General features: G+C 36.7%; 1 protein-coding gene across 12 annotated transcripts in view; it reads right to left on the bottom strand.

Moving 5' to 3' along the window:
* Positions 1-2543: 2543 nt before the first annotated feature.
* MINDY2 (MINDY lysine 48 deubiquitinase 2) overlaps positions 2544-11699 on the bottom strand; it is a 90599-nt gene continuing 81443 nt past the window's right edge. For 6 of the 12 annotated variants that reach the window (XM_011521687.3, XM_017022332.3, XM_011521689.3 and 3 more), the window contains one exon: positions 2544-9962. In XM_011521687.3, coding sequence (XP_011519989.1) covers positions 9834-9962 — 129 coding nt within the window. In that variant the 3' untranslated portion in view covers positions 2544-9833. The remainder of the gene's footprint in view (positions 9963-11699) is intronic. The other 6 variants (XM_011521688.3, XM_047432700.1, XM_047432699.1 and 3 more) reach the window with 1 other exon arrangement.

Here is an 11699-nt window from a genome sequence, read left to right as displayed (position 1 = left end):
CTCCTTACCAATTTCAATGCCTTTTCTCTCCCTTGCCTTGCTGCATTGGCTGGTGTCTCCAATAGAGTGTCGAAAAGAAGTGCCGAGGGTAGACATTCTTGCACAGTTCCCAATTTTAGAAAGAAAGCATTCGGGCTTTCACCATCATTAAGTGTGGTGTCAACCTTGAGTTTGTCACTTACACCCTTTATGAGGCTGAGGAAATTCCCTTCTGTTCCTAAAATGCTCAGTTTTTATTACAAATGGGTATTAAATTCTGTCAAGGGCCGGGCGCAGTGGCTTACGCCTGTAATCCCAGCATTTTGAGAGGCCTAGGTGGGCGGAGTTTGAGACCAGCCTGGCCAACATAGTGAAACCCCGTCTCTACTAAAAATTCAAAAAAAAAAAAAAAAAAAAAAAAAAAAGCCAGGCGTGGTGGCACTGGCCTGTACTCCCAGCTACTTGGGAGGCTGAGGCAGGAGAATCTCTTGAACCCAGGAGGCGGAGGTTGTGGTGAGCGGATATTGAGGCATTGCACTCCAGCCTGGGCAACAGAGTGAGACTCGATCTAAAAAAAAAAAAAAAATTCTGTCAAATGCTTTTTCTATATCTGTTGAGATGATATGATGGTATTGACAGGGGTTTTCCCCTTCATTCTGTTAATATGGTGAATTACATTGATATTAAAATATTAAACCAATCTTGTAAGTCAGGGAAAATTGACACTTGGTTATGGTTATATATATATATATCTTACTGGATTTGATTTGTTAAAATTAAAAACTTTTCTTTTTCGAAACCACTTTATTGGCCTGGTGCAGTGGTGCACGTCTGTAATCACAGGACTTTGGGAGGCTGAGTTGGAGACCAACATGGACAACATGACGAAACTCTGTCTCCACTAAAAATACAAAAATTAGCTGGGGGTGGTGGTGCACGCCTGTAGTCCCAGCTACTCAGGAGGCTGAGGTGGAAGTCACTTGAGCCCAGGAGGTCAAAGCTGCAGTGAGCTAAGATCCCACCAGTGTACCCCAGCCTGGGAGACAGAGCAAGACCTTATCTCAAAACAAACAAACAAAAAACAAAGCAACAACAACAACAAAAAAGCTGCTGCAGTGGCTCACGTCTGTAATCCCAACACTTTGGGAGCGTGGGGGGGGGCGGGGGGGGTGGATCACCTGAGGTCAGGAGTTCGAGACCAGCCTGGCCAACATGGTGAAACTCTGTCTATACTGAAAATACAGAATTAGCCAGGTGTGGTGGCACACACATGTAGTCCCAGGTACTCGGGAGGCTGAGACAGGAGAATCTCTTGAACCCAGGAGGTGGAGACTGCAGTGAGCTGAGATTCCACCACTGCACTCCAGCCTGGGCAAGACAGAGCAAGACTCTGTCTCAAAAACAAAACACATACACACACACACACACACACACACACACACACAACCAGATTATTTTATTGAGATAGAATTCATATGCCATACAATTCAATTCACCCACTTAAAGTGTACAATTATTTTAGTATATCGTCAGATACACACAACTATCACCACAATGATTTTTAGAACATTTTCATCACCTCATGAAGAAATCCTATACTTTTCTCTTTATTTTGAGACAGAGTTTGGCTCTTGTTGGCCGGGCTGGAGGGCTGGGATTACAGGCGTGAGCCACCACCGCACCTGGCCAGAAATCCTATACTCTTTAGCTGTCACTGTTGACCCTCTCTCCCCGAGGCATAAACATCCACTAATCTACCTTATCTTCAGAGTTTACTGTAGAGATTTTATTAAATGAAATAATATAAAATGTTATCTTTGCGACTGGCTTTTTTCCCTTAGCATGATGTTTTCAAGGCTCATCTGTGTTGTGGTATACAGCAGTACTTCATTTCTTTCTCGATTTGAATAATGTTCCATTGTATGATCTACCACATACTGTTCATCCATTCATCAGCTGATGGGCATTTAGGCTGTTTTCACCTTTTATCTATTGTGAATAATGCCATTATGAACATTCCTATACAAGTTTTTGTGTGTACATGTGTTTTTATTACCTTGGGGGTATGTATCTGGGAATGAATTGCTGGGTCATATGGAAACTCTGTATTTAATCAATGAGAGAACTGCCAGATTGTTTTCCAAAGTGACTGCACCAATTTATATTCCCATCAGTCATATATGAGGGTCTGATTTTTGTTTTCTCACCAACACGTACCTTTTTTTTTGACACAGGGTCTCACTCTGTTGCTCAGGCTAGACTGCAGTGACATGATCATGGCTCACTGCAGCCTCAGCCTTCCTGGGCTCAGGTGATCCTCCCACCTCAGCTTCCTGAGTAGCTGGGACTTCAGGCACATGCTACCACACCCAGCTAATTTTTTAACATGGTTTAGAGTTAACTGTTTACTTCCTGGGAGTGGGGAAATTTTCTCTTTATCAAAAGTTGGCCCTAATATTCTAAGAGTTATAGGTAAATGTGAATCAATATGTCAGTTCCCCATCTCCCCGCTCATCTTTCTTAACTTTGTAGCTTAATGACATGAATATACAGAGCGAACAGACTTTGGTCTAAATATCAAAGTTTATTGAAATAAAATATAATCTATAATAAAAAATACTACAGGTGTTATTCACTGGTTACAGTTTTAAGTATATTAACAAAAACAGCCAACATTTTAACCCAACAATGACACTATCTTTGTGGTACAATAACAAACATGAAAGTAAATGTTGAATAATACTGAATAATTCTGTCAGAAATATTTTATACTTTACCATCTATGTATGCCTTTTAAGGAATATCCTCCCAAAGTGAAAGTTTTGAAACTGATGACATTGTTTTTAAGAATTAAGTAGTTTTAAAATAATTAGTATTTAAAACAAATTTATTTCACAGAAATTCAGTTCAACCCTAAGCTGGGTAGATGGTTTTAGGTATCTTTATGCAAAAAATGTATTTCAATGCTCTTTCCTATGAATCTCTAGGGTTGTTATTATTCCTCAATTGAAATTAAAGCTGGTCATAAAGCAAAACAGATGAATTATTTCAGAAGTAAAATGGGTATTAAGATAAAAAATGAAAGGAGGAGGAAAAAATAGGCACTCATACGTAATCTATATATTAAAACGCTTTGAGAACTCAGTAGCCAGTCTTGGCCTGGCACAAAGAGATCTTTGATATGTCACAGCAAATTGACCCAATTAGTCCAACAATAAAGTGGAGAAAGAAAACTTGTTTCTCTTCCTTGCTATATTTCAAGATAATTTTCTCTGTAGTCATTATACCATTCCACTTGCTACTCCTCAAAATATGTGCCTCAATCCAATTATTCTGCACAATTCAAGGAAAAGATTCACACGCACTAGCTTTAGGAAATGACTTTCAGGGTACCTCTGAAGTTTCACAAGCAAACATGATTCCTTTTGCTGACTGTTTTGTAGCATTCACACACCAATCTCCTGTTATACTGTCCTACTTGTAATGTGTGAATCTGTAACAAGCTGTCATTTATTAAGCAAGATAGTCTTTTAACAAAAACCTCTGAGGGCTTTTCAAAACCTCATCTTTAAAAATCTGTAAAACAAAGATACCCTATGTACCCTGAAAAAACTGCTTATTTCACATATGTGAAAAACAATAATAAAAATTCTGACAAAATTGAGAGACATACAAGACAGGTCTTCAAGGATTAAATACTGTTTGTCTTAAAACATGTTGCAATTATGTTCACAATGTAAGGTTCATTAAAAATTTTTAAAAAACACATTGCATTAGTTAGAACTGCTTTGTAAGGTATTTCAGTTACAAGGCCTATTTTGACAGATCACTGATTTGAGAACTTAAATGGGAATTTCAGTTTCTTGACTTTTTTTTTTTTTTTTTTTTGAGATATAAGAGTCTCGCTCAGTCGCCCAGGCTGGAGTGCAGTGGGGCAATCTTGGCTCACTGCAACCTCTGCCTTCCGGGTTCAAGCGATTCTTGCGCCTCAACCTCCCCAGTGGCTGGGATTACAGGCATGTGCCACCACACCCAGCTAATTTTTTTTGTATTTTTAGTAGAGACAGGGTTTCACCATGTTGGCCAGGCTGGTCTCGAACTCCTGACTTCAGGTGATCCACCCACCTCAGCCTCCCAAAGTGCTGGGATTACAGGCATGAGCCACCGCACCGGGCCAGTTTCCTGACTTTTTATTTTCAGCTATAAAACAATTATGAGAGCCAAAGGAGCCAGGATCACCTTCCAAAACATTTTGTTTTGTCCTTCTCTAATTTATGAGGCATTCTTTCTTCTCAAAGCAGGATATTACAGTGCAGATTAAAACTGGATATTAAAGTTAATGGTGACAAATTATTAAGTAGTTTGAAGAAATCCTTAGAATATCAGATAAAGAGAGACTTAATGGCAGAAGAAGAAGTCTACTGGGGTTCAAAGCTTAGGTTTTATATTTCTGCCATGGTATCTCAACACTTTCTCTGGGATAGTACGATGCCCTAAAAAATACCTGTGTTAGGCAGACAAGTCTAAATCTCCTTTCTCAGGACAATAGGACAAAACTGAACTTGAGGCAATAGTTGAAGAATTTTACCCCGTTTTTCAAGTTTAATTTTCTTGAGATCAGAAAAGTAAAATTAGAAAGTAGAATCCTTCATGTAAAAAAATATATGCGTATCACAATTTATTAAACTCTAACATCTAAGAGCAAAAACACCAGGATTAAGTAAGAACATGCATGAACTAAAATTTAGATAGATATTCAAAGTAAGTTAAATTTACCAGAGTCCTGCATCTGGCCTCTCCCATGCCATTATCGCTATTTTGCAATTTGTTTTGTTCAGGAAGCCTCTGATTTTAATATTTAAAGTGTCACCTGAGAAGAGTAACCTCAATTCTTCATGTTTTCTCAACAATCTTAGAGGTGTTGGACATCATTAATAAAATATACTAAATTATCAGAGAACTTAAGAACGCTAAGATTCTGATGAGTTCCTTTACCATTTTCAGTCACTTTCTAAAAGGGATTTAACTTCACATTATCAAATAACATTTTACACTAAAAACACAATTTATATAGCCCTAAAATAATATTACTTGAGAGATCTAAATGAATTCCACCAATGCAAACGAAGTTTATATACTGTATTAGTAATTTGATACCACCGTATTCCATGGAGAAAAAGGCAAAGAGAATCTAAATATTTAGATCTGTGAAAGATACTAGAAAAAAATAGATTTTTAAATGCTTCTGATCCTCTCAAAATACTCTTGATTTTGACTCTATAGTCTATAGAACACACAAAAAACTGTAAAATGCATTTGGGAAGAGATCACGCCATACTCAAAGAAAATTCTACAAATTTTGACAGCATTAAAAAAACTGACTTAAGATATATTTTGTTATTGAGAAAAAAGTGTGCACATTCAAGAACATAGGATGTGTAATATTTGTGATAAATTAAGTCATACTTTGTGCTTATACTATGCCCTTTATTCAGGAGTGCAAAACACTTAATCAAAAAGAGCATCCTTCACATATTTAAAGAGTACATTGAGGCACAGAAAGTTTGCCCAAGGCAAGATAGAAAGTCGGGTTTATAGACACAAAATGATCTAGAATTCTTCATGTCCAATTCCTTAAAATACAAACTGTAGACTATTTGTAATGCCTCCATCTTATTTTATCAAACATTAGTAATTTTACTATTATAAGTTTATGCATAAGTACTGTGTGATAGGTAATGCCCATAAGGTTTTTATCATGTTTTAAGGTAACTTGTGCATGGAATAGGAAAAGTTAATCAAATGTAATCAATTCGCTTTTGCTTTTTAACAAAACTTAAATAAATGAGCTATTTGAGGACAGTTCTGGAAATTCTTGCCTTGATTTTTCTCCAAGATTTTAGATATGTAGTTCACATGTGAACATTAATATATGAACAATTATTTTATTTATTGGCCTCTAGTTCTCTTTCCTCTCATGATCTGTCTCTTAGTGAATTGACTTTCTGATTCATTGAAAGCAAAATGCTAAGAAGGTTTTGTGCAAGTGCAAAATGTTTAATCTTGGGTTCAGTCAACTAGTCTCTGATACTAACTTGCTTAGTTAAGCCAAGATCAAGAAGTATGAGAAAGAACTTGAAATATGATAAAGAATTTGAAACAGAATATGGGATAAGTAGTCAATATCAGAAATGTGAGACAATAAAAACAAGATATATTCCAAAGCCTAATCCTAAATTTAAATCTACACTTCATTCAACTCTGAACCTGACCTTGAAACATGGAAGAAGTTACTTTACCTAAGCACACTGCACCAGTGTAAAACCAATGCCAATTTTAGCTGCTTTATACTGCTTAATGTGTATATGTACACATGTATTCTTAAAATGGTGATTCTTAAATTGAAGTTCTGAATTCTTTTGAGAATCTAACAGAGGTCATGAAAACTTGCTTCAGAAACACACATATGTAAAGTACTTTTAAGTGTTGATCATGTACTATAAATCACAGCATTGTGGATGCAATGGGATTAGACATGAAGAAAAATTTTATATTTTTAATAAAGACTGGTTACTAACCTTAAGGAATATACTTAGACTCTGAAAGTAAAAGGAAAGTGCAATGACCATATTTGTTCATTCATCTGCCTATTTTCAAATCTAATGATGATTTGGTTGATGCAAATATGTCCCTAATCTAGGCTATAAATGATAAAAACAAAAATGTTTAAGTTCTAACTTTTGTTAGCAGTATACATCTAAGAATTTTCAAGTATTACAAAATACTTGGAAGGAAAGACTTTAATATACCACTTTCAAAATCCTATGTACCCAAACCAGCAATGAAGTGGTGGGATATATAACGTTACCTTGGGCAAAATTTAAGAAAATAAAGACACAATAGCTCTAATTTTTTTTTTTTTTTTTTTTTTGAGACGGAGTCTCGCTCTATTGCCCAGGCTTGCATGCAGTGGTGCTATCTCAGCTCACTGCAATCACTGCCTCCTGGGTTCAAGCGATTCTCCTGCCTCAGCCTCCCAAGTAGCTGGGATGACAGGTGCCCGCCACCATGCCTGGCTAATTATTGTATTTTTAGTAGAGACAGGGTTTTGCCATGTTGGCCAGGCTGGTCTCGAACTCCTGATCTCAGGTGATCCACCTGCCTCGGCCTCCCAAAGTACTGGGATTACAGGCATGATCTAAATTCTTTATACCCTTCAAGGGCAGGAAACCAGTATCTCTGAAAAGCTTGTTTGTTTTAATACAATTGAACATTTCATCTTTCCCCCCACAGTAATCAAAGCAAACATTTTATCATTATTATTCTTGGTATATCAAAGTAAATTCCAGGAATGTAAGAAAGTCTGACTTGGAAATATTACATAGAAAAAGGCTGAATTAACACATTACATTTTTTAGTTTTTCCTTGTAAGTATACATTGACATCTACTTATCTGATAGCAGCACTGCTGGTTTTGAGTGAGTTTTGTTTTGTTTTGTTTCCTTCCAGAGGGAATGCAGTATGGCAGCATTTTCTTTGGAACAAATTAAGAAGATAGTAACAAATAACAGAAGAAATACTTCTACACATATATTTTCCATGGGCAATAAACAGATAAGTATATAATTATGAAAAAATATGCCTCAACTATGCTTTTTAAAATTTCTCAAGGTATACTGGTTTGTTTTTCTTATTCAAATATAATGCACTATCACTACTATCTGTCCCGGGAAAAACAAACCCTGAGGTTTGAGTTACCTCCTTCAGCCAACAGAGTGATATCAAGAGTAAACTTGGATTGAGGTCAACCTGTTTGAGCCAATAGAGAGTTCTGTAGTATATCTGGTTATTTTACTAACGTATACATATTCTAGGTTATAATCAAGATACTCATTAAATATTTTCTATCAGAGTTTTATATCCCAAACAGGTTCTTTGATGATTTATCATGCTACCATAGGAAATTTGAAGAAATAACAAATTGTGTAACAGAAATAGACATGCAATATAAAGGACATAAAAGATACAGCTTGACCCTGGATTTTTCCCTTAGAATAATTCCTTCCATAAATAAGACTCTATTTTTACATACAGATTCATCCTATAACTGGTCTTGGATCATAAAGTTAATGACATAGTTGAAAAAATCCAGACCACACATTTTTGTGGTCTTTTGTCACCCCAGACCACACACAAAAAAAACACTCTCCAAGTGGATGCTCAGGTCAGATTATGATGCTCTTAAATAAATGTACTGAAGCTTAGAATGTAAAGCACACAACTATTTGCAGCAGCAATAGTCTTTCAAAATAACTAAAACAAACTTTTAAATATAAGGCATATAAAACAGACTATTAAGGATAGTTTTCCAAACTATATATAGAAACACAGGAAAATATGTGTGGCCTCATAATAAAGTTAAATAAATATTATTTCTGAGTTCTTATAAACACTATGAGGTTATAGTTTTATTTGGTTCCCATAAATTAAAAACTCTGATTGCTTTTACATAAATTCTTAGCTACTCTCAGACTTTTTTTTTTTTGAGACGGAGTCTCCCTCTGTCACCCAGGCTGGAGTGCAGCAGGGCGATCTCGGCTCACTGCAACCTCTGCCTGCCGGGTTCAAGCAATTCTCCTGCCTCAGCCCTGAGTAGCTGGGACTACAGGCACGCACCACCATGCCAGGCTGATTTTTTGTATTTTTAGTAGAGACAGGGTTTCACCATGCTGGCCAGGCTGGTCTCGAACTCCTGGCCTCAGATGATCCGCCCACCTTGGCCTCCCAAAATGTTGGGATTACAGGCGTGAGCCACTGCGCCCGGCCCTTTCAGATTTTTATTAATGTCTTTTTATAAGACACAGAGATTATCTCTAACTTCATTTCAGAAATGTGCTTTTTCATTGGTTTTAATAAGTACATTTAATTTTCTAGCAATGAACATGACTTAAAATTTAAGGTTCAAGGTAGTTCTAGAAAAAGGTAGACACTGAACTATCTGCTTTTCTACATCCCCATATTTACAAAGCCTAGCATCCACTGTGCTTTCCTCCATACACTCAATCACATTGTCAATAAATAGTAACTGTGGTCCAGGTTACCTATGATAAAGACTCCAAAATTCCTCAAAATTTTACAACACTACAAAGTCATTAATATCTGATATTGATAGGTTATAAGTATTAGTGTTATGTAACTTTTTGCTATTGGAAAAGAAATACAAATCTTTATTTTTGCTATCTAAATTAAAACTAAGCTCCATGATCAAGATAATACCTAAAATGTACATTCCTAAATAAAGGTAAAGCTGTTTAAGGGCTGAACTAGTCCAATATACAATTAAGGGTTATTTATTCCTATTCTTTTGTTTTTGTTTTTTTGAATCCCTATGTTAAACCCGTGGTTTCTCATGAATTAGATCATAATTTAACATTGTAAAATTTCAGAAACTATTGTGCTAATATTTAGATTTCAGGAAGGAATCAGACTAAATCAATTACCTCCATTCATTGTTAGAACAGAAGATATAATAGCTTACTAACTGATATGAGTTATGAATGTCACTATGACACAAAATTTGCTGTGATTTGCTAATCTGGCTACAAGTGCAGTATTTTTCATGAATGTCAACACACAGCATTTCCAACTTGTAACATGAAACTCCAGCTCATAAAGAGTGTATTGTGTGACTTGAAAAAGTCTGATTGTAACTAAGTAACAACCGTTCCCCTGAAAAAACGAACAAAATCCATTAGGAAATCAGGCACAGACGGTATTGATCGGTTTTTCTTCCTTTCCTCCTGTGGTTTTGTTTCTCAAGACATATAGGTGGTTCCAACAGAAGCCAACACTTGTTACAAAATAACACAGCTATTTTTTTCCTTTTCTTTTTCTTTATCTTTTTCTCGTGGTTCCTTCCGTTTACGTTCACTATTCCCAGATTGTCTTCCACTTGATGGAGAGGCTTGTGCTGGCTGGCCCTGCTTTAAGAAAAATATACAGCAAGAAATTACTCTAACTATTCTGAGGGACTTACTCATGGTTATCTAGAAAGGAAAACTGTAACAGTGGAAGGAATCACTGATGGAAAAAGAAGCTAGCTATTGGCATACAGATTTGTTATATTACATGGTATCTGAGCCATTACCGCTACCATTCTGGATATAATTAATGTATTCATTATTCTGAATAAATAAAATTTCTTTTCCTTTTTTTTTTTTTGAGACAGAGTCTTGCACCGTCGCCCAGGCTGGAGTGCAATGGTGCAATCTTGTCTCACTGCAACCTCCACTTCCTGGGTTCAAGAGATTCTGCTGCCTCAGCCTCCCAAGTAGCTAGGATTACAGGCACCTGCCACCACGCCTGGCTAACTTTTTGTATTTTTAGTAGAGACGGGGTTTCACTATGTTGGCCAGGCTGGTCTCACACTCCTGACTTTGTGATCCGCCCACCTTGGCCTCCCAAAGTCGGTATTTCAAACAGTAAATAACGTAAGATTATATTGCCTAAAGTCAAATTGAAGACACATTTGTTAAAAGTTTAGAAAATGTTAAGGAAAGTGACACCTTTTGATAAACTATAATAGTTCTTCAAAACCTCATTAAATTCCATAATAAACAGACTTTTTTTTTTTTTTTTTTTTTTTATTGAGATGGAGTCTCACTCTGTTAGGCTGGAGTGCAGTGGCACAATCTCGGTTCACTGCAACCTCTGCCTCCCAGGTTCAAGCGATTCTCCTGCCTCAAGTCTCCCGAGTAGCTGGGACTACAGGTGCACGCCACCACACCCAGCTAATTTTTTATATTTTTAGTAGTGACAGGGTTTCATCATATTGGCCAGGCTGGTCTCGAACTCCTGGCCTCGAGATCCACCTGTCTTGGCCTCCCAAAGTGCTGGGATTATACGTGTGAGCCACCGCACCAGCCATAATAAACAGATTTTAAAAGGAGAAAAGAACCCCTGAGAATTGGGAGTTTGGAATAAGTGTATTTAGTGAAATAAGACACCTTTTTTGAGTGAAAACCTACACATAACATGGTAGGATTTAACTATTAAGCTTGGAGTAGTCAATATTTGAGCTAGAAATAGAAATTTTATACTTATTTTAATGGGGACTTCTATATTTAGTTTTATGAGACTTAAAAGGGCATCTTGCTTTCTTGTATGCCCAAATCAGAATTTCTTATGTATCTGAATCAAAATGAACAGTTTAGGCCAGGCGTGGTGCCTCACACCTGTAATCCCAGCACTTTGGGAGGCCGAGGTGGGTGAATCACTTGAGGTCAGGAGTTTGACACCAGCCTGGCCAATATGGTAAAACCTCATCTCTACTAAAAATACAAAAATTAGTTGGGCATGGTGGCACACACCTGTAATCCCAGCTACTTGGGAGGCTGAGGCAGGAGAATTGCTTGAACCCAGGAAGCAGAGGTTGGCAATGAGCGAGACTGCGCCACTGCACTCCAGCCTGGGCAACAGAGTGAGACTCTGTCTTAAAAAAAAAAAAAAAAAAAAAAAAAAAAAAAAAAAAAAAAAAAAAAAACAGGAACAGCAGTCTGGCATGGTATAAACATAAAAAAGGGGAATATTTTTAACTTAATGAAATGAGATTTAACATGTAGAATCCCACCATTAAATTTTCAGTGCTTTAAACCGTTTAACTACAGAAAGTGAAAAGTAGGGAGATGTCAACCTTTGTTGAATGCCTAGTACATGTTAAA

Source organism: Homo sapiens, chromosome 15 (assembly GCF_000001405.40).
Source record: "Homo sapiens chromosome 15, GRCh38.p14 Primary Assembly".
Lineage (NCBI taxonomy): Eukaryota > Metazoa > Chordata > Mammalia > Primates > Hominidae > Homo > Homo sapiens.
This window is presented reverse-complemented; position numbering and strand designations above follow the sequence as displayed.